Source organism: Homo sapiens, chromosome 1 (genome assembly GCF_000001405.40).
Source record: "Homo sapiens chromosome 1, GRCh38.p14 Primary Assembly".
NCBI classification, from domain to species: Eukaryota; Metazoa; Chordata; class Mammalia; order Primates; family Hominidae; genus Homo; species Homo sapiens.
In genome coordinates, this window is record NC_000001.11 from 65,200,986 (window position 1) to 65,225,038 (window position 24,053).

General features: G+C 41.2%; 1 protein-coding gene across 6 annotated transcripts in view, besides 2 other annotated features; it reads left to right on the forward strand.

The window, feature by feature from the left end:
- Nucleotides 1-24,053, forward strand: part of AK4 (adenylate kinase 4) — an 84,594-nt gene that overhangs the window by 53,434 nt on the left and 7,107 nt on the right. For all 6 annotated transcript variants that reach the window (NM_203464.3, XM_017000613.2, NM_001005353.3 and 3 more), the window contains 2 exons: nt 17,769-17,941; nt 23,767-23,885. In NM_203464.3, the coding sequence (NP_982289.1) occupies nt 17,769-17,941; nt 23,767-23,885 (292 nt within the window). The remainder of the gene's footprint in view (nt 1-17,768; nt 17,942-23,766; nt 23,886-24,053) is intronic.
- Nucleotides 6,473-6,552: an enhancer, noted in NCBI's record as "active region_1142". NCBI's record gives its function as "activates an Ori minimal core promoter by ATAC-STARR-seq in GM12878 lymphoblastoid cells {active_cell/tissue: GM12878}" and the evidence as "EXISTENCE:reporter gene assay evidence [ECO:0000049][PMID:35858748]".
- Nucleotides 12,542-12,641: an enhancer, noted in NCBI's record as "active region_1143". NCBI's record gives its function as "activates an Ori minimal core promoter by ATAC-STARR-seq in GM12878 lymphoblastoid cells {active_cell/tissue: GM12878}" and the evidence as "EXISTENCE:reporter gene assay evidence [ECO:0000049][PMID:35858748]".

A 24,053-nucleotide genomic window follows, 5' to 3' on the forward strand; every position in this document is an offset into this window, starting at 1 on the left:
GTTTCGCCATGTTGGCCAGGATAGTCTCCATCTCTTGACCTCGTGATCTGCCCACCTCGGCCTCCCAAAGTGCTGGGATTACAGGTGTGAGCCACCAGGCCCAGCCAGTTTTCAGCTTTTTTGCTACCCTAGGCAGTGAGGGTTATCTTTAATTTCTTTAATTTAAATCAAAACCCTGATAACTCACTTTTTCTCTTAGTGACTTTTCCTACGTTCTGCACCCTTGCTGTCAATATGAGCTCAGAGTAGCTGACTGAAAAACATGATAAAGCCTTGGATCTCTTCTCTTTCTCATTTGTTATAGATTCTGTCCTGCGTTCGTGTCCTCCATGTCCATTTCCAGTGTTTTTCTTCTGATTGAACTGACTGCTGCTTTGGGGTGAGGAACAGTTGTACCACAGTATAGTAGACAATGGTGGCTTATCTTATGTGTGTCTCAGAGATTGACTAGATTTTAACATTAAGGAACATTAAGGGGACAATATGGAAAACATATGTATACACATATTTGACTGGACCCTAGCAAAGCTTGGTTCATGGATCAATAAACAAATTGAGTATACATTTTTTGTGTCTTGATAAGCTAGGCATCCGTCATTCCCAAGAGGGAGTAGCATGCTTCCTGACCTCATAGTCCAGGAGTGCCGCACAAATGGTTGCAGAATAGGTAGGGTCTTGGGAGCACCAGTGAAGAGAGAGTGAAAGGTGATGGCTGGCGCAGAGAGGGAAGTAACTGACCCTCTTTTGAAGGTGAGGGAGGCAGGTATTAGGAAGGCTTCCTGGAGAAGCTGACACCCAGAACCATAATTGGAAGGTGGGAATGAAGCACATTTTAGAGGGAGGGAAGATCACATGGAAAAGCTCTAGAGGTATGAAACAACATGGTGTATTCTGGAAACCACAAGTAGTTGGGTAACCCTGGAGCTAAAAATATGAGCAGATGAGGCTGGACAAGTGGACAGGGGCAAAAGTTAACCTTTCATGAAATTTAGAAACAGGGAGTTGAGTAAGCATCAAAGTTAATATTAAAAATGAGGGGGAGTTAAAAGTAAAATTTAAAACTTTGAGTTTAAAAGTGTGAACAACATATTTTTAAACTCTACTTCCAACATTTAAAAATTAACTGGATTGGCCGGGCGTGGTGGCTCACGCTTGTAATCCTAGCAATTTAGGAGGCTGAGATGGGTGGATCACAAGGTCAGGAGATTGAGACCGTCCTGGCTAACACGGTGAGACCCCACCTCTACTAAAAATACGAAAAATTAGCCGGGCGTGGTTGCAGGCGCCTGTAGTTCCAGCTACTCAGGAGACTGAGGCAGGAGAATAGCACAAACCCAGGAGGCAGAGCTTGCAGTGAGCTGAGATCGCGCCACTGCACTCCAGCCTGGGCAACTGAGTGAGACTCCGTCTCAAAAATAAAATAAAATAAAATAAAAATTAACTGGATTATTAACCTTTTAAATTTAGATCTACATTTGACATTAAACTGTGGTTTCTCTGTATTTGGGTGTGTCTTGACTTACATGTTCAGATGCACCTAGCCCATTTGCCATTGCTGCTTAATTAGAAGTTGATAAAGTAAGGTACAGGATGAAATACTTCAACTCCTAAGTTTAGGTGTTAGGAGAACCTGCTTCCCTAATTTATGAAACAGGTAATTCATCCAGTTCCTGGGAATTGGATGAATTAAGAAAATTCATTACAAAGCATCATTCAAGGCATTTGAGGGCATACTTTGCTAATTGCTAATTTAATAATAATTATTGTGCACTTACAATGCACAAACCATGATGCTAAGAAGACATTAACATGATAGAAAAAGCATGGGTTTATGAATCAGACCTGAATATCAGTCTGTAACTTACAAGCTGCTGTGTAGTCTTTTTTTTTTTTTTTTTTTTTTTAAGATGGGGTTGTGCTCTGTCACCCAGACTGGAGTGTAGTGGCACCATCATAGCTCACTGCAGCCTCAAACTGGGTTCAAGTGATTGATCCTCCCATCTCAGCTCCCTGAGTAGCTGAGACTACAGATGCAGGCCACTACGCCTGGCCAATTTTAAAACTTGTTGTAGAAATGGGATTTTGCTATGTTGCCCAGGCTAGTCTTGAACTCCTATCCTCAAGCAATCCTCCTGTCTCAGCCCCTCAGAGTGCTGAGATTACAGTCATGAGCCACTGTGCCGAGTTGTATAGTCTTGAGCAAGCAAAGTTTTCTTTCTTGGATTCTTTTTCTTCATCCATGAAATTAGCACGTTCATGGCATAGGTTTGTGAGGATTGACTAACAAATGTAAAACTCTTAGTGGAGTTCTGGAAAATAGGTCATCAAATGGTAGACATTTGATATTATTATTTATTATAATTGATTTTAAGCTCCAATAGAAATACCTTGATACTTACATAGATGTTAGGACTTAACATTTCAATAATAACTTACTGAGAAACTTCACAAAAAATACTGTCATTCTAATGAATAAGGATCAACATATTCACCCCTCATAAAGCACATTTGGGCAAAGCATAAAACCACCCCTCTTGGCCTGGCGCGATGGCTCACATCTGTAATCCCAGCACTTTTGGAGGACGAGGTGGGTGGATCACTTGAGATCAGGAGTTCAAGACCAGCCTGACCAATATGGTGAAACCCCATCTCTACTAAAAATACAAAAATTAGCCAGGCGTGGTGGTGTGCACCTGTAATCCCAGCTACTTGGGAGGGCTGAGGCAGGAGAATTGCTTGAACCTGGGAGGCGGAGGTTGCAGTGAGCTGAGACCGTGCCATTGCACTCCAGCCTGGGCAATGAGAGTGAAATTCCATCTCAAAGAAAAAAAAAATCACCCCTCCTCCATTAAACCTTGTGTAGTAATGTAAAACAAAACAATGTAAAACTCTTGATTGTCCTGTCACCAGTAAGAGAACCCAGATTTTGGAGAGATGGACAGGTTGATTAGGGCTAAAGGGAGAATGAGATGTGGAAAACTGCAGAGAATTTAATTTTATCTTTTTCTGTAATACATGATCACTATAAAACATCCAAGCCATATGGAAAAATGCAACGGAAAGCAACAAATCACCTGAAATTCCACCAGCCAGAAACAACCAGGGTGAACAGTTGAAAAGCATCATTCTAGATACCTCTCTGTGCGCATATGTAGATGGAAATGTGTAAGAAGGCATCAGACTTTATATGCTTTAAAAAAGTATTTAATCTTACTGAATTTTTTTTTTTTTTTGACATGGAGTCTCGCTGTGTCGCCCAGGCTGGAGTGCAGTGGCACAATCTCTGCTAACTGCAACCTCCACCTCCTGGGTTCAAGCGATTCTCCTGCCTCAGCCTCCCAAGTAGTGGGATTACAGGCACGCACCACCGTGACTGGCTAATTTTTTACATTTTTGATAGAGACAGGGTTTCACCATATTGGGCAGGCTGGTCTCAAACTACTGACCTCAAGTGACCCACCCGCTTTGGCCTCCCAAAGTGCTGGAATTCCAGGCGTGAGCCACCATACCTAGCCTTAATTTTACTCAAATTTAACAGTAACAAAACTAAAGTGAACCTGAAGGAGTTATTACGGAGCTTCAGATAAATCTTTGTTCATCACCAAGGATATTAATTCCTGTGAGAGCTCTTCAACATTATAAAAGCCACTGGGAGACTGACATATTTGTTTTCTTTTGTTTTAAATTCACATTTCAAATTTAGACAGGAGGCATTGTCTCCACAGTGAACCCTGAGGGAACTTATACTTCCTTTAACCTCCTCTTACCCTTCATCTCTCCCAGTTTTTGTTGGCTTTTGTCATTAAAAATTTATTACAGTTTTCTTCTGCAAATGTAATTCCTCAGTTTCTTACATTAAAAAAATTTAGGTGAATTCTGTGCACTGGTTCTTTTACCCACCTCTACTCATTTTATTTTGATTAATCTCTTGGTTATATCTCTGTGAATATACTAGAAATCATTGAAATGTACACTTTAAATGAATTAATTGTATGGTACGTGAACTGTATCTGAGTAAAGGTGCACTGCTGTTTAACACAGCTTTTTCATTCAACACTGGGTTGACTGGATTTTGCTGGATATTTTTTTCGTCCCTCCCTCCTCTCCCCTCCCTGCAGAAGAGCTCATAATATGTTTGAGAATGTCTAATTTTTTAAAATTAGCTAACTGATATTTTTGAGTTGTTCTTGTGTCTTTCAAAACATTGCAACCATTGTTACATTTTCTTCTGGCCTGGTTCCCCATTTTATTTTATTTTTATTTGTTAAATAGAGACAGGTCTTGCTCTGGCACCCAGGCAAGAGTGCGATGGTGCAGTCGTGTTAATAGCTTGCTGCACTCTCAAACTCCTGGATCCTCCCGCCTCAGCCTCCCAAGTAGCTAGGACTACAGGTGTATGCTGCTGTGCCCAGCTAGTTTTTTATTTTTTGTTTAGACAGGGTCTTGCTATGTTGCCCAGGCTGGTCTTGAACTCTTAGGCTCAAGCAATCTTCCTGCCTCAGCTCTCCAAAGTACTTGGATTTACAGGCGTGAGCCACTATGCACAGCCCTTTTCCACCTGTTTCAAGGTGATTTTTTTTCACCCCGTATAGACTTTCTAAAGAGTTATTTCTTCATACTTGAAGTCAGTAGAATAACTTGATGTTGTTGTTATTTATTTATGTCCTATATAGAGTGTATCCTCCTGATCTGCAATTCAGTTCTTTCCTTTCAGGGAAGTTTTCCTGTGTTATATCCTTTTTGTCATTTGTTCAGATTTCTATTTCAATAATACTAGTTATATTGGATATTCTATTGACTATTTTTTGTCTTTATACTTTAAATTTTTCTTGCTTCTGTGTTTCCTTCTACTTTCAGGCACACTCATATCTTTTATTTTGAGGGCAGGAGAGAATGAAACTTTGTTTATATTCCATAACTGTTTGATTATTTTTCAACCTGTATGTGCCATGCACCTGTGCTGTGGGCCCTTGCACTTACTGTTCCCTCTACCGGCAGTGCCCTGTCTCCAGATATCCGTGTGGATCGCTGGATACAGATCCCTACACAGATAACCCTTCCTCAGAAGGTCTGTCTTGTACCATTCTGTCTACCTACGTCACTCTCCTTACATTATTATAATGTGACATTATGTATTTATGAGCATATTCGATTTTCCATTCCTCCCCTATCCCTCCACCCCCAGTGCAGGCCCCAGAAAGCACAGGTTATATCCATTTTGTTCATGGCTATATTGCCAGTACCTATAACAGTGCTTGGCATATAGTAAAGACTTGTACATCCAGTTGCAGACAGGTCATGCCTGCAATCTGTAGCTGAGCCTTTAGAAGGTATACTTGAATTCTGTTACTTTTCTGGGGATAAAAATATGGGCCTATGGTGAAATCATTTACAAATTTCTTTAGTCTTAATTGAGATACAGTGGGACCGGTTTTCCCCTAATTTGTGTATGGGGACTTATATTCAAAGAACAAGCAAGCAGGCCGGACGCGGTGGCTTGTGCCTATAATCCCAGCACTTTGAGAGGCCAAAGAGGAGAATCACTTGAGTCCAGCCTGGTTAACAAAGCCAGACCCCATCTGCGTGTGCGTGTGTGCACGTGCGTGCGCACACACACAAACACACACACACAAAACCAATGTCCAGGTGTGGCGATGTTTGCTTGTAGTCCAGCTACTTGGGTGGGGGGTGGCTGAGGCAAGAGGAACCCTTAAGCCCAGGAGTTAGAGATTGCAGTGAGCTATGATCGCATCACTGCCCTCCTTCCTGGGTGACAGCGAGACCCTGTCTCAAACAAAACAAAAGAAACAAACCACGCAGAATTCTTAAACAGAAGAGGCTTTAAGCAAGGGGTTTGTAGATGACAGCTCCTTCCTCAATGGAATATGCATTTTCCCTTATGGGAAAAGGGCTCAGTGATTTTAGTATAACTTACTTAAGAACAAGGGTTATAAGGTAACAGTTTTATCTGTGTCTTTATTCAGGAAAAATCCTCGCGATGATCCCAGAGGATCTCAGTGAAGCCATTTGGGAATTTCCCCAAGAATTCCTACCTGAAAGGAATTTATCTTTTATTTCCCTAAGCCTCTTTGAAGATGCACACTTGTGGTTTAAAACCAAATTTTCTGGAGTACTTATCTTCTGCTTATCAGTGGATCACCAAGTAGTGATTGTAGCATATCTAGGTTTTTAAAGTCTTTTTCTTTTTCTTTCTTTTCCTTCCTCCTCCCTTCCTCCCTACCTCCCTTCTTGCCTCTATCTTGCCCTGTCACCCACGCTGGAGTGCAGTGGCACGATCACAGCTCACTGCATCCTCAGTCCCTTGGGCACAAGAAGTCCTCCCATCTCAGCTTTGGGGTCTTTTTCTATTAACCTATAAGCTTCCTGAGGGCAGGACCCACTTATTTCAAATCTCTTAAACCCTGGGATCTATAACTAGTGTCCCAGGAAGCTGCCATGAGCAGGAAGTGGGTTCTAGAGCTCTCAGCACTGTGGGGAGTGTGGGGCTCACAGAGTGGTAGGAGGAAGCATAAACTTCAGTTGCTGACATCTGGAGCACAGCTGCTGTTTTTTTTTTTTTTTTCCTTCTACTTTCATTTTAGGTTTAGGGGATACATGTGCAGGTTCGTTACACGGGTAAATTTCGTGTACAGATGATCCTGTCACCAAGGTAGCGTAGTACCTGATAGGTAGCTTTCCAACCTGCACCCTGGTCCTGGTTCAAGCAGTCCCTGTTGTCTGCTGTGCCCACCTTTGTGCCCATGTGTATTCAATGATTAGCTACCCCTTATAAGTGAGAACACATGGTATTTGGTTTTCTGGTCTTGAGTTAGTTCTCTTAGGCTAATGGCCTCCAGCTGCATCCATGTTGCTACAAGGGACATGATCTCATTCTTATTACGGCTGCATAGTATTCCATGGTATATGGAATATATACCACATTTCTTTATCCAGTCCATCATTGATGGGTATCTTGGATGATTCCATGTTTTTGCTATGGTGAATAGTACTGTGATGAACATACAAGTACATGTGTCTTTTTGGTAGAACAATTTATTTTCCTTTGGGTGTATACCCAATAATAGTTTTGCTGATAGTCGTAAGTTCTTTGGGAAATCTCCACAGTGCTTTCCACAGTGGCTGCACTAATTTACATTCCCACTAGCAGTGTGTAAGTGTTCCTGTTTCTCTGCAACCTTGCTGGCATTTGTTGTTTTTTTACTTTTTCGTAGTAGGACAGCTGCTGCTTCTTTTCACCATCTGTTAATAATAACTGGATGACATGGAATATGGAGGTCTTTGATACATGTACAAATAAACATTGTGTAAACAGATAAGGAAAGTATACGATAGGAGAGAGAAAAGGCCTTTATGAAGCAGGTTTTGGTGGTAATTAATTTGCTACTAAGGCTTCCAGTTGGTGATGTGAGTGATTTGAACTCCTGGGCTAGGGAAGGCTGTGGAAGAATAACCAACCACCTGCTTTCAACTTTAAGCTAATCATCAGTGATTGATTGTCATGAACAATGGCTTGCATTTGTAACTTGGTTCTTACTTATTCAACAACTGGGAAGAGATGGGCGGTCCGAAGCAACTATGTTAGCTCCAGATCTTAATGGAGGTAGGAAGGGGGCTGATGTCGCATAGCCTTTTCACAAGCTGCCAAACCCAGGCGGATGTTGGAAGTTGCCCTTCTGAACTGCCCTTTCATTTCCATCAGGCGGAGGGCTTGCTTTGCTGCCTGGGAACGTGGTGGTGGACTCTGGCTCTGCACCCTTCCTGCAGAGTGAATGCGCTCCAAATTAGAAAAACAGAAGTGTCCTACTTTCTATTCCCCACCACTGCCTCAGCTTGTTGCCGCAGCACCTCCTGCTTCAGCTGCCCTTCCTTGGGTTCTTGGCATGGCTGGGAGGAGCAGGTGCCAAGGCCCAGTGGCCAGCACTGCTGGGAACACAATACCAGTCAGGAATTTAATGATATCTCACTGCACTTAGTAAATATTTTGTGGGGGGGGTCTTAAAAAAAACAACCTGTAGATGTCATAATTAGTGATATAACAAGACAGATTCTGGAAGAAATTTAAAAATATAAAATTTCAGCTTTCAATCTGGATTGGCTGTTTGAATGAAAAGAGTGAGCAGCTTTTCTAGGCTTGGTTAGGGGATGAGGGATAGCGATAGTCTGGTGTGGAAGCATGATAAAGCATGCGGTGGAACAGACCCTCTGAGGAGCTAAAGGGAGGAAAGCAAGCAGTCCATGCTTAAACATGATCTTTATTTTACGTTAGCTCTTGGCATTTCTACTTCTTCAACAATTAATGGAATATATTCACATTTGGAATGGGCTAATTAAGGAACCTAGAATAACGCTAGTCAGTCATTTAGAAAGCCTTTCTTGGAGTGTTACTTTTAGTAAATGTAAAAGCATACTTCAACTTGTAATTCTCTCTAAATGGAAAAATTATAAATGCTGCCACCTGTTGACAAAATTTGAGGGTGCATTCTACTCCAGTTGGTCAGTGATCCCTGCCGACAGGGGATCTTACTGGCTGGATAATGACCCTCAGCTAAAAATGCTTTAAAATGTGCTGGTCTGACTGTACCTTATCTGACATTCTGTTCTTGGCGGCTGATTGGTGTGAGAAGTACACCTGAATTGCTTTGATTTGTTTAGCCCAACTTGAGACACAGATGTAGATCAATTTAAAGAATGCTGAAGCTCCCATGCTACCTTATAGAATCCATCATTTAAGACACCATTTCATATTGTATGCCCTGAAGCCTTAAAGTGGATCTGTGGCTGAAAAGTATGTTTTTCTTTTTCTTTTTTTTCTTTTTTTGAGATAAGAGTCTTGCTCTGTCACCCAGGCTGGAGTGCAGTGGCATGAACATGGCTCACTGCAGCCTTGGCCTCCTGGACTCAAGCGATCCTCCTGCCTCAGCCTCCTGAGTAGCTGGGACTAAAGGCATATACCACCATGCCTGGCTAATTTTAAATTATTTTGTAGAGACAGGATCTCACTTTGTTGCCCAGGCTGGTCTCAAAATCCTGGGCTCAAGTGAAATCCTCTCAAAATGCTGGGACTGTAGGTGTTGACCATTCTTCTCGGCTGAGTATCCATATTTTAAAAGTCTTGTAGATGAATAAATACTACTACTTACTTGGTAGAGCACTTGCCCTTATGTCTAACCAGAGTGAGAGAGAGCCCCTTTTCAGGACCTGTGACACAGCACCCCAAACTTTGGAGGCAGCCTTAGCCTATCCCCAGGGCCTCTGTGACCATTGCTGGGTCTAGGACACCACACTCGCCCTGAAAGTGGCACTCTTTGAGGCCAGTCACTTCCAACTCTGCCTTTCATTTCTGAGAGGAAGGTAAGCCATCCTCCTGTTCTCCTTTCTTTTATATCCGCTTCGGTTTCTTTATTATTGATTCCCCTCCTCACCGTACCCTCTGGAATCCTTTTTCCTTAACAGTTTCCCCCACCCTCCTCGCCACATACACATGCTATTTGCAGAAGTCTCCACTTTCTGTATTAAAGAAAACCTAGATTTCCCCTTAGGATGCTACTTTCTTTCTTGTCTTTTCTGTTACCGAGGACTTTCTCCTATGTGAAAATCTCATGTTGGGTGATGGTGGTGGTGGTATTATTATTCTGTCTCCTAGTGTGTCTTTCATCCTTTTCTAAAAGCTCAAATCTATCTTTATCCTTCATATCTTTCTTCTCAAACCTGCTGTTTGTCTTTTTACCTCCAGTCCCACATTGCCTTCATTTTTTCCCAGTACCGTCCGCCCCCTGCCATGCAATTTATCCTGAGCCAGCCACTATTCTGGAATTTACATATAGTAATTTGCTTATTTCTCACAATGACTTTATGAATTAGGTATTACTATTTTCATAGGCACAGAGAGGTTAAGCAACCAGGGTCACAAGTAAGTGGCTTAGCTGGACCTCAAACATAGGCAGCTTGCCTCTGGATCTATATTCCTGTGAATCAACTTTTCCTTAGTCATGTGTTTCAGGTCATGTGCAAAGATGCTCATTGCAGTATGACTGGAAACAACTTGGATGTCCACCATTAGGGGATTGGTTAAATTATGCTCTATCTAAACCATGCTGTACTCTGCAGTTATTAAAGAGAATGATTCCCAGCACTTTGGGAAGCTGAGGCAACAGGATTGTTTGAGGCCAGGAGTTCAAGACCAGCCTAGGGCACAAACCAAGACCCTGTCTCTGCAGAAGAGAATGAGACAGTAATATGTAATATGAAGAAAAAAATCTCCAAAGAGAAAAAGCAAGATGCAGAACATTTGTTGTGTGTATGTGGGGAGAAAATCTGGTCTGTGCGTGTAGCACTGGATCAGGCGGTTCCTGAAGCCATACAAGATTTAGATTTCTCAAGTCGTTTTGTAAGCTGCCTGTCAGAGACATCAGGATCAGGCATTTCTCCCTGTCTGAGAATTTGCTTCTCACAGTCTGCAGTTTTCTGTTCAGGAGGAAGACAGCATGGTGTGGTACATGGCGTGTGATTGTAGAGACAAATAGCACTTGATTTAAAGCTAGATTAGTCACTTATCATGTGATCTTGAGCAAGTCACTTCACTTTTCCCAGCATTGGTTTTTACAGTTTTAAAATGGGGATAAGGCCTACCTGACAGAATTATTGTTACTTTTGAGATAATATTTACTCATTCAACAAATATTTTCATTCGGCACTTACTGTGTGCAAAGCACGCTTACAGCACTAAGGTTATAGCAGTAAACAAGAACTTAAAATGTTCTACTCTAATTTAGTTTACTTCTGGTAGGAATAGAAACACTTAAAAAATAAGGTAAATCATATATGGCAAATGGTGATGAATATTCTGAAGGAAAACAAAAAGAAAATAAAGGGTGAATAGGAGTGTTGGCGTGTGGTAGAGGTGCAGTTTAACAGGACAGTTAGAAAAGTCTTAACAAGGCACCACTGGAGCCAAGATTTGGAAGAGCTGAGGATACACATGGGTATCTGGAGCAAAAGCAGAGGGAATATGAACTGTGAATGTCCAGGGTGGGCACCTGCTTGAGAGCTGCAAGGATGCCGGTATGGCTGGCACGGAGACGTGGACAGAGAAATGAGGTGAGAGAGGTGGCAGGACAGGGGCCCAGATGGGTAGGCCTTTGCAAGCCTGTACAATTTTGGCTTTTCCTCTGCATGTAATATATCTGGCACATAAGGGATGCTCTACAAATGGTAACTGTGTTATAAGGATGCCACCATGATGCCCTGCTTTTTAGGTAGGTAGAAGAAAGATAGACAGGGTAACATTTTAGGATTCTTTTTTTTTTTTGAGACAGGGTTTCCCTGTGTCTCCCAGGCTGGAATTCAGTGGCGCGATCTCAGTGCACTGCAACCTCTGCCTCCTGGGCTCAGGTGATCTTCCCACCTTAATCTCCCAAAGTGCTGGGATGAGCCACTGTGCTCAGCCTAGGATCCACCCATGCTCACCCACCCAACTTTTTATTTTATTTTATTTTATTTTGAGACAGGATCTTGGTCTGTCACCTAGGCTGTAGTGCAGTGGCACAGTCACAGCTCACTGCAGCCTCAACCTGCTGGGCTTATGCAATCCTTCTACCTCAGCCTCCCAAGTAGCTGGGACTACAGACGGGCACTACCACGCCCACCTAATTTTTGTACTTTTTGTAGAGATGAGGTCTCACTATGTTGCCCAGGCTGGAGGATTCTTTTTAACAATTACTTTTTATATGCCTGATACAGCAGCATCGTTGCATAGAAAGAGAGAACACTTTAGCAGAAATCTAAGGACCAGATGTCATATGCATTGTGCTGTTGGCTTTCACTGAATCCAAGCTTAATTAAACTGAGGCTAATAACTTCTCTATCCACCTCATAGGGTTAATGAGAAGAGTAAGAGGTAAGTAAATTTATAGAAATGCTTTGTGAACAGTTTAGTATATGTGAAGCATAAAGGCTATGTTTGCTGAGTTGCAGACTTGGAAGCCATGTAGTCCAGCTCCTTCCAAGGCACAGTTGTCTTGTCTTTGTGAATGCTTCTAGAAAAGGGCACTCACTACAGAAAATACCACAAAGCTGCCACTTTTCTTGATTTGGATCCTTAGTTACAGTTAACACAGCCTGCACGTGCACTAGTTCCTTGGAAGTTATACCATGTTGCTACCTCAAGGTACACTTGTATTATCAACAGCTTAAGAGTGAGTCTTTGTGTTGAATTTATCCATCTGTAACCCAAATGAAACCTCACCGTGATAAGGTATTGAACCAGATCAGGAAAGTAGATTAAGGAGCTTTACTATTAAAGAGTCAGGTAGGTGATGAAAGGGGCAAACTGAAAACCAGTGGAAGGAGGCTTATGGAAGTAGTGGCTGTGTTGTGCCCAGGTTCTGTGCTGTGCTGGGGTTGAGCTCCCTGTGACTCATGACTACCTGTGCTGAGCTGTAACTGCCACAGAGAGCACCAGGGACTCCCCAAGCTCTTAGAAAAAACCCAGAAAAGGAATTAAATGTGGGTGGATGAGGGCCTTTCTTTCCTGCTGCTGCGTTTTTATTGAATTGGGAAATGAGCTGAGCTCCTAGGTGAGCTCTACCAAGAGCAGCAGCAACCGTTTATTAATCAGCACACTCTCCATGTGCCCAGCACTTTGCATCTTATACATTTGACAGGGATTGTCACTTTTAATCCTCAAACTGCCCTGTGCAGTAGGCATTACCCTTTGTCATGGGCTGAGTTGTGGGTGTGTCCTCTGACCCCGAATTCCTGTGTTGAAGCCCTAACTGCCCCCCCAGTACCTCAGATTGTGACTATATTTAGAGAGAAGGTCTGTAAAGAGGTGATTAACTTCAAATGAGGTCATTAGGGTGGGCCCCAATCCAATCTGACTGGCGTCCTTATAAGAAAAGGACATTTGGACGTGGATACATAGAGTGAAGACCATGTGAAGGCAGCAGGAGAGACAGCCATCTATGAATCAATTAGAGGCCTCTGAAGGAGCAAACCCTGCTGATACCTTGGTCTTGGACTTATAGCTTCCAGGATTGTTTAAGCCACCCAGTCTGTGGCAGCCCTAGCAAACTAATGTGCCCTCATTTTTGTTGTTGTTGTTGTTTGTTTGTTTGTTTGTTTTGAGATGGAGTCCCTCTCTGTTGCCCAGGCTGGAGTGTAGTGGCACGATCTCGGCTCACTACAACTTCCACCTCCGGGTTCAAGTGATTCTCCTGCCTCAGCCTCCTGAGTAGCTGAGATTACAGGCGTGGGCCACCATGCCTGGCTTATTTTTGTATTTTTAGTAGAGATGGGGTTTTGCCATGTTGGCCAGGCTGGTCTTGAACTCCTGACCGCAAGTGATCCACCCGTCTTGGCCTCCCAGAGTGCTAGGATTACAGGCGTGAGCCACTGTGCCCGGCCCCTTGTTTCATATCTGATGAAACTAAGGATCTGAGAGTAGATGAAACTAAGGATCTGAGAGTATATGAAACTTGCCAAAGTTCTCACAGTTACGGCTAGGTAAAGTCCCGGGATTAAATCCAGGTGCGTCTGATTACAGGTAGAGATAAATCTAGGCATTAAATCCAGGTGTGTCTGTTCCCAAAGCTTGTGCTTATACCTAATGTGTTATTGAGTCCTGAATGTGTCTACCTTAAGGCTATTTCTCCTCACTTTTGAAATAGTGAGTGGCACCCAGATCTTTGACTTATTTCTGGTCCATTGTTCTTACTAATATACCATGCTTGCCTCCCCTGCCACCACTTTCCTTAGAGGTAAGATACTGCACAAGTACATGAGAGCCTCTGGAGAAGAATGTCACAAACAGGTGACTAAGTTAGGGAGTTCGTAAATCTGGAAAGATTTGCATGTGTTTGGGACTTTCCTTCCCAGCTCACTTCTGATGAAGTGAGATAGAGGCGACTTGTTCTTCAAAGTGGTTTGTTACCTACTTAGAAGTAGAGTTAAGCCTGACAGAAAAATGGGGCAGATAAGTGTTTAGTGTCATACTTGCACTGTTGCTGTCACTGAGAAGTTTGGTGGTTCGTCATGAATCGGGGTAAATATTAGAAATACCCAAGTCCTGCTCTCACTCCTAGATGTTCTACTCTAGGAAAGTCTGGGACAGGATCTGAGCATCCATCATCATTGATTTTTTTTCTTTTCTTTTCTTTTCTTTCTTTCTTTCTTTTTTTTTTGTTTGAGGCGGAGTCTTGCTCTGTCACCAGGCTGGAGTGCAGTGGCACGATCTCTACTCACTGCAATCTCCGCCTCCCGGGTTTCATTGATTCTCCTGCCTTAGCCTCCTGATTAGCTGGGATTACAGGCGCCTGCCACCATGCCCGGCTAATTTTTATATTTTTAGTAGAGATGGGGTTTCACCAAGTTGGCCAGGATGGTCTTGATCTCTTGATCTCAGGTCATTCACCCGCCTCGGCCTCCCAAAGTGCTGGGATTACAGGCGTGAGCCACCATGTCCGACCCTGATTTTTTCTTTTGAGTCTTCCTTGGTGATTTTGATGTGCTCATCAAATGGAGAACCCTTGAAGTTGTGGAATGGTTTATTTCTATAGTTGTTCCTTCTAAACCAGCTTTAGGTACCTGTTGCTTGTAGTCTAAATCACTGGAATTAATTATCATCTGTGGTCTTTAGCAGGTCTGAATGTGAGAGTCCAGTAGGTAGCAGGTGCTATCCAACATGTTTTTGAAATTTTTCTTGCTGAGTTCAGCCTATTTTGTACACTTTGCATTTTACTCCTCCAGAGGGCTCTAGAGCTCAGCTGAGCAGACTGGCTTGTTACCCTCATTAGACAAAGAAACTAGCCAATAAGATTTGAGCTTTTATTTGTTGGAGGAACTAATGTTATGTTATCTTTTAGAGCTTCCTGTTCTTTTCTTTTCTAGTGCTTCCCCCGCTCCCAGCTCTCAACCTCTATCCGATATAAAGACTGTTTTCTTGTCAAGGTCACAGTTAGTGATGCTAGAACACAAGGCAGAGACTGTGGCTAAGCTTTCAGGTCTTAGAAGAGGGATCTCTAAAATTCTTTGTTTACATTTATCAGTGAGAAGGTTGAATTTACATCTTCAATATATGGATAATTATGTATAAATTATTTATTTACCCATGCAGTTTCACTAATGTGATTGCAGTGCTTTTTTTTTTTTAGACAGTCTTACTCTGTCACCCAGGCTGGAGTGCAGTGGTACAATCTCAGCTCACTGTAACCTCTGCCTCCCAGGTTCAAGCAATTCTCGTACCTCAGCCTCCCTAGTGGCTGGGATTACAGGCATGCGCCACCAGGCCCAGCTAATTTTTGTATTTTTAGTAGACATGGAGTTTTGCCAGGCTGGTCTCGAACTCCTAGCCTCAAGTGATCCACCGGCCTGGGCTTCCCAAAGTGCTGGGATTACAGGCATGAGCCATCATGCCCGGCCACTAATACGACATTCTTTTAAAAGAATGAGCCAAGCCCTCCCTGCCTCCCGCTTCCCCAAAGTTCAAATATTTTCTTTCTGTACTTCAGTGAAGATAACTTTGGAAGCCACTGCTTTAGAAAATGCTTTTCATTGATGTGGCAGAGGTTTGCGGGGAAAGAGTTTATAGATGATCTTGAGGTTGTTTGGGCTGTAGGTACCTTTCTTTTTTTTTCTTTTTTCTTTCTTTCTCTTTCTCTCTGTCTTCCTTTTCTTTCTTTTCTTCTTTTTTTTTTCTTTTTGAGACAGGAGCTCACTATCTCACTCTGTCACCCAGGCTGGAGTGCAGTAGTGTGATTGTAGCTCACTGCAGCCTTGAACTCCTTGGGCTCAAGTAATCCTCCCACCTCAGCTTCCCAAGTACCTGTAACTACAGGCATGCATCACCAGTAAAAGCAATTTTTTAATTTTTATTTTTGGTAGAGATGGGTTCTCTCTACATTGCCCAGGCTGGCCTTGAATTCCTGGCCTCAAGTGATCCCACTGCCTCGGCCTCCTAAAGTGTTGAGATTACAGGTGTGAGCGACTGTGCCTGGCCTTGCAGGCAACTTTTTATTCCAATTGCCATCTTGACATTGTAGTGAAGAGTGAGTTGTCCAGGGAAAGGCAGAACCTGACAGTCATTGAGAGGGGACTTTATGTGGATGGCTCACAGGCAGTAAGGAAGGCTTTGGAGGAAGCATTGGAGAGTTAGCAAGCAATAGGTACCTGAAGCAGTGGCGTGGGTGGATTTTGTCACATTCAACTCAGTGAGCACTCAAATCAGCTTGGCATTCACACAGACTTAGGGGTTTCAATGCAGTGCTGCATATTCATGTTTGAGCCACCAACTTCCTGCAGTAAGGAAAGGAATTCTTTGAATTGTAAGTGCTACAGGGCCATGAATACCCATTTTTAAGTTGTCATCTTGATACTTCCAATTTTGAAAGGGTAGAGATGGGCTGGTATCCTTATCTGAATGGATTTAAAGTTTCTCTTCTGGATGTTGCATCTTTTATTATACTTTCAGCTCTTCATCTACCTGGTTCTTTAACTAGGATATAAAGACATTTTTTTAGAAAATGATAGTAGATCCAGCAAGATTTTTGTCAGAGCAGATAAACTGGAGTGATTTGTTTAGGAAAAAGTTACCACTGTGTAGCCCCACCAGAGCCAAACCTGGAGTTACATTTAAACAGGTCAATCTCTGAAGAAAAGTGTAATTTGGGGTCATATGACCTAACTCCTGAGGTCACCCAGAGCTTATACTTAAATCAGAAAAGGAAGAGATGCCCATGAGCCCAAATTTTAATTTTGTTATTTCCACACATTTAGAAAAGTAGGAAGAATAAGTTTTGCATTATCCCAATAGATTTAAAAACTCTAGTTCCTTTTAAAATCTTTAAATAGACTTAAAACAATTTCAAATTTTTTCCAGCTTTATCGCGGTATACTTGACAAGTAAGTGTATATATTTAAGGTGTACAATGTGATGCTTTGATACATACAGTGTGAAATGATTACCACAGTTAGGTTTAATAATTAACATATCCATCATCTCACATAGGTATGATTTCTTATGTGTGTGGCGAGAATCCTGAAAATCAACTCTGAGCACATTTCAAGTGTACAATACAGTATTTATGATAGTCACCATGCTGTTAATCAGATTGCCTACCTTGGTTAAAGTGCAGACTCAGGTGAAGGTCTGGATGGAGGATCATACTTTAATTGATTTAGACTCTAAAATAAATGTATATAGTTATTTTTGCTAACCTAAGAACCTACTCATAAATGGCTAGTGTTAAAATGATGTAAGATAAAATGCTTTCCCTTCACTTTTTTAACAGAAGTGGAAATGGAGGTGATGTAACTTGCCTGAGGTGACACAGGTAGTTAAGAGCAGAGAAAGGACTAGAGCCAGGACTGGTTTAGTGATTTTTAGTTTAGCGCATTTTAAATTTTTATCATATGATTCCTTAATCTTTGAGTCTTCCAAATGCAGAAGCTAGGTTATAGAATAGCATATTTTATTTTAATATTACATTTATGGAGGTAGATATTCTTGGTTAAAGCTCATTTTTAAAAAATAATTTCAACTTTTAGATTCAGAGGATACATGTGCAGGTTTGTGACATGGATTTATTATGTGGTGCTAAGGTTTGGGATGCAAATGATCCCATCACCCAGATAGTGTAAAGCTCCTTTTAGAATGGTATATGCAGATTTAATTCTGTCACTGAAAATGTTTCAAGAACTAATTGGAACTGGGCAATAGCTTGCATTTCACTTGTTTTGTTCTTTGCATTTAGGTTTTCCTAGGACATTAGGACAAGCCGAAGCCCTGGACAAAATCTGTGAAGTGGATCTAGTGATCAGTTTGAATATTCCATTTGAAACACTTAAAGATCGTCTCAGCCGCCGTTGGATTCACCCTCCTAGCGGAAGGGTATATAACCTGGACTTCAATCCACCTCATGTACATGTAAGAATATACAAAGTGCTTTCACAACCTGACAAGAAAAAGACAAACAATTTCCATTGAAAAGTGGAGAAAAGGATATGAGTAGACCATTCAAAAAAGAACAAATCTACATGACCAAAAAACATTTTTTAAATGTTCAAATGTAGTTGTCAGGGAAGGGACATTTAAGTATTTAAATAGGATATCACTTTGGATCTATTGGACTGGCAAAATCAAAATATAAAAATTTTTAATTTTATATTTATTACTGATAAATATATGTATACAATGTATATAATTATATTTATTTTATTTAAAAAATAAAACTAAAAGTCTATTGCTGGTGGGATCTGGGGAAAATAATACTCCCTTTTTTTGTTAGCTGAAGTATTACTAGCCTCTTTTTAAAGCAACATAACAATGTACATTCAGAATTTTAAGTAAATAATTTAATTCAGGCTACTTTTAAGAGAATAGCTGTGGAAATGGAAGCATTAGCAGGTTAGGTCATGTATAGGTTGATGCTTGTTTCAATGTTGCTGTAGTGGGCAAAAAACAAAACCAAAAAAATCTCAAAAAAGCAAATGAATGTCCATCTGTAGTGGAATGGTTAAATACATTGGAGAATATTTATACCATCTTGGAATATAATATAGTCAGTAAAAAGAATGAATTAGCACTACTTAAAAATTAATATACTTGATTTTTAGATAAGCTTTAGGTTTACATAAAAATTAAATGGAAAATCCCCTCCCTCACCCTAGCTTCTTCATTATTAGCATTTTGCATTAGTGTAGTACATTTGTTACAGTTAATAAACTAATATAGAAAAGTTATTAACTAAAATTCATAGTTTGCATTGACGTTTTCGTTTTTTATAGTCTATGGATTTTCACAAATGCACAATGACATGACATTTTTCCATCATTACTGCATTATACAGAATAGTTTCATGGTCTTATAATTTATATTTCCTGTGCTCTACCTATTAATTCCTCCCTGATTTTCGCCAAACTTCTGAAAACTACAGATCTTTTTACTGTCCTTATAATTTTGCCTTCTATAGAATGTCATATCGTTGGAATCATATAGTATATCTACTTATCAGACTTGGCTCCTTTCACTTAGTGATATGCACTACACATTCTGTGTTTTTTGGAGGCTTGGTAGCTCATTTATTTTTGTAAGTGAATAATGTTCCATTGTATGGATGTACCACAGTTTATTCGTTTTGAAGAACATCTTGGTTCCATGTCTTGGCATTTATGAATAAAGCTGCTCCAAATATTCACGTGCAGAGTTTTGTGCAAAATGTAAGTTTTCAACTATTTTGGGTAAAGACCAAGGAGTGTAATTGCTGGATTGTAAGTGTATATTTTAGCTTTGTGAGTAACTGGCAAATTGTCTTCCAAACTGGTTATTTGATTTTGCATTTCCACCAGCAATAAATGTTTCTATTTCTCCATATCATCACCAGTATTTAGTGTAGTAAGTGTTTTAGATTTCAGCCGTTCTGCTAGGTGAGCATTATAGTTTTTTGACATGGAGAAATCTTCTGAAAGTGTTTTTCTTTTTTATTTTCTTTTCTGAGATGGAGTCTCGCTCCATCACCCAGGCTGGAGTGCAGTGGCGTGATCTCAGCTCACTGCAACGTCCGCCTCCTGGGTTCAAGTGATTTTTCTGCCTCAGCCTCCTGAGTAGCTGGGATTACAGGCATGTGCCAGCATGCCTGGCTAGTTTTTGTATTTTTAGTAAAGACAGGGTTTCACTATGCTAGCCAGGCTGGTCTCGAACCCCTGATCTCAAGTGATCCACCTGCCTTGGCCTCCCAAAGTGCTGAGATGACAGGTACGAGCCACTGCGCATGGCCCTGAAAGTATTTTTCAATGAGAAGTGCAAACAGCAGAATGATCCCATTTTTGTAAAACAGGGACTACACCTCTTTATGTATATCTGTTTGTGTGTGTGAGTGTGTGATCTATAGCTTTATAAGATCAGGGAGAAAGTCATGAGGGCTGTATCCTGGGCTGGAACTGGATGAGGGAAAGGAATCATAGTTGATGTGCAGAGTGGGTAGTTAAGTGACTAGGGAAGGCTAAAGGAATAAAAAGATTACCCTTAAACAGTTCAAAGTATAACATTGATACAGTTACCTAAAATTAGACATGTGTAAAGGTATATGTGTAAAGATATTTTAACAAATTTTCTTAAAGAATTATTGTTTTTTTGATAAAGACTATTTGGTTTATGATAAAGACTATCTGATAAAGACAGATTGAGCTGTCTTTATCATATAATAGTGAACGCCAGTTTTGGGTGGTAGATAGTATTACTTGTTATTCAAATGTGGAATACATGCCTTACTAGGTTAGTCTTTATGGAAACATTACACTTGGATATAGATGGAGTCAGTAATTACTATAGAAAATTTCTTCGAGGGGCTAAGAATGGCTTCCCAACTCCTGGGTGCCATTGTGTCAGTAAAGTCCCAGTGAGACTTTTTCACTAAGCACTCCTTTTGAAGTCTTCTTTTAAAAATGTAAAAGCAGGCCAGGCTTGTTGGCCTGGGAGGTCAAGGCTGTAGTGAGCTGTGATTGTGCCACTGCACTTCAGCCTGGGCGACAGAGTAAGACCTGGCCTCCCTCCCACCTCCAAAAAACATAAAAATTTTCTAATTCTTGTATTAGATCCCTTCCTGATATCTGTCTCAAGAAGCTATGATGGGGGAAAAATGGGTGGGAATAAAAAAGGAGTTCTGACAATACAGATGGGAAAACTGAAGTCCAACACAGACGCTTTATATTTTGCATTTGTCCAGACCTGCTGACGCAGAGATTCTCATAAAATTTGAAAAGCCTTACCACTGAGTTGCTTTTCAAAGCCTGGGTTTCCCTCAAAGAACATCTGCAATTACCATGCTGCTTTTGAAGACCATAGTGAAAGTGCTAACCTAGACCAGCTCTACCAGCTGTGGTGAAGTGGCTATGTTGTCTGGGATATATACCCTGGGGTTCGTCATCTCATGCCAGGAAAATTTAGGACACGGACGCAAGGAGTTTAGGAGCGGAGGTTTAATAGGCAGAAGAGAAGAGAAGAGAAAGAGAAACAGCCCTCTCTACAGAGATAGAAGGGGCTCCAAGTGGAAAAGACCAGCTGGTGGTGGATGCCCCGGATTTTATAGTCCAGGGTGAGGAGATGGTGTCTGATTTACATAGGGCTCACAGATTGTTTGGATCAGGCATGATGTTTACACAGTGCTGGAGAAAGGCTGGTGGCCCCACCCTAACCTTATTATACAAATGAACTCTCCCTGTCCTGCTTCTGATAGTACACGTGGCTGACAAAGAGAAGGGAAGATGGAGCCGCCATCTTGAACATGTCTAGTCCCTAGTTCCTGCCAGCATTCCCCCGTGCAAGCTCCCAGCTTGCTTGTCTATGTCTGCAGCTCGACTTTACAGGCTGATCTTTGTTAGAAAATGATTTGGGGCTGCTTTTCATTAAAGAGAAAAGCCTTACTGAGGATTCCCATGCCCTTACCATCTGCCTAAGTGATTTCTTCTTAACTCCTGTGTCAGTGGTAGCCGGATTCCCTGGGAAGGAGGGACGCTGTTGCTCTAGCATCATTCTGCTTTTTGGAAACAGGGTTGTATTTGCTGATGCTCTGAAATTCTGGAAATGACTTTCTGAGCCTTGTGGCTGTAAGTAAAATAAAGAAGGTGGCAATAGAGGTAATATATTCTCCCATCCCCATCTCTCTTGTCATGTTGGGTTAACAACCATAGAATACACATGTGATAATTACATGGCTTACTCATAAATCATAAGAATAAGTCATATACCCAAGGCCCTGAGCTGTAATGGAATTTTAGTGCATTTCAAATTTATAGCCAGTTTCTGATTATCCAGTTGAGTTGCCTGTGCCTCTCAGTTCTGTTCTGGCCTACCTTTTGACAGGTTTATTTCTTGTGACTATCTCCCCTGGTGAGTAATAGTCATGGATGTGGGAGGCAAAATTCAAAACGTGTCCATTTTGCAATTTTAAGGAGGCATGATTCCTGGGGAGATTAAAACAAATTGAAAATCAAGGTGTTTTTTTTTTAATTATAATTTTTCAGTTCTCAGAATGTTTGTCCCTGATTGTCATGGGTAATTTAATAATTTCTATTTTAATACACCTTTAAATATGTCATTTTTTAAATATTCTAATTCATGCCTTCTGTTTCTCTTTTCCTTAATTTTAGTGGTTAAGAGTTTCACTAAAATAAATGTTATTTTTTATTTTTTATTATTTTTATTTAAATTTTTTTGAGACAGTGTCTCGCTCTGTCACCCAGGCTGGAGTGCAGTGACACGATTTCACTGCAACCTTTGCCCCTGGGTTCAAGTGATTCTCCTGCCTCAGACTCTCGAGTAGTTGAGAATACAGGCACCCGCCACCACACCCGGCTAATTTTTGTATTTTTAGTAGAGACGGGGTTTTGCCATGTTGGCCAGGCTGGTCTCAAACTCCTGACCTTAAGTGATCCGCCCGCCTTGGCCTCCCAAAGTGCTGAGATTATAGGCATGAGCCACTGCGCCCCAACCAACTGATAAATGTTATCACGTATGATGAGAGTGGGGGGGTTCTTGCCTTTTTCCCCAAACTTATAGTAAGTGTATTCAATATTTAACCTTATGTATGATATCAGCTATAACTTTATTATAATGTCCTTCATGAGATTTTGGGGGGGAATAGAAAGCTAGCAAAATAATTAGACAAACATACTGCAGAAAATCATATACATTTTCAAATCAAATACATAAAACCAGCCAGGCGCAGTGGCTTATGCCTGTAATACCAGCACTTTGGGAGGCCAAGGCAGGTGGATCACCTCAGGTCAGGAGTTCGAGACCAGCCTGACCAACGTGGTGAACCACACTGTCTCTACTAAAAATACAAAAATTAGCTGGGCATGGTGGCAGGCACCTGTAATCCCACCTGTTCGGCTGAGGCAGGAGAATCACTTGAACCCGGGAGGCGGAGGTTGCAGTGAGCCGAGATCGAGCCATTGCACTCCAGCCTGGGCAACAGAGTGAGACTCCGTCTTAAAATAAATAAATAAATAAAATAAAACCTGTATTAATCAGAACTAGCAGTTAAGGTATATTTTTTGTTTTACATTGAGAAAGAAGCAACACATAGGAAAAGCTAAAATAAAGGATTTAACAAATCCAACACCAGCTTACCTTTTGAGTAATATAATTTAGGTGAGGACACAGTCACTTCAGTTTTTTTTCCCTTCTGTATGTTCCTACAGTGTATGTCATTATTTGATCTAGTAAAATAACCTGAATAAGAGAAATTTCATAGAAGCTCCAGAATAGAATTGGAAAGCTGGCAGAGATGGTACTGAACCGTATTCTCCTAGATTAGTATTTTTCCTAAGTAAGCCAAGTTGTTTTTTTGAGATTTTGTTTTCCGCATTAAGAACTCAGGCTTTATTTTAGAAGACAAGGTAGTTTTAGGGATATTTAGAGAACCAAGATGACAAGGTTTGTTGTTAGGAGAGGTTGCATGCAATTTTAGGCTGAATTGAAAGTACCATTTATCAACAGCACTGGAACATGTTTGAAAAGATCTGAACTGTTAATAAAGATTTAATGTCAGCTCCCAGGAAATAAGGTTAACATACTGTTAAGTGTGCTATTTCTTTTTCTACTACTCTTAAAATTACCACTGTCACCAAGGCCTAATTCATCATGTGGTAGGAGTTAAAGATGAATACATGGTTTTGCACAGAAAAGTTTTTAACCTATGAAATGGCCCAACTGTTGTCTATATTAATTGGTTTATTTGGTATTTGTAGGGTATTGATGACGTCACTGGTGAACCGTTAGTCCAGCAGGAGGATGATAAACCCGAAGCAGTTGCTGCCAGGCTAAGACAGTACAAAGACGTGGCAAAGCCAGTCATTGAATTATACAAGTGAGTGTGCTTCAATATTTTCATGACAAAGGACAGACTGGAAAGGTGTGGAGCCTGCTGGGAGGAACACGGGGCTGAGGCAGAGTAGTGTTTCTTTAAGACAGATAAACACTAGCGATCCAAAACCTTCCCAGAAGTCAGATGAAATGCTGGAGCTGTACATGAAAG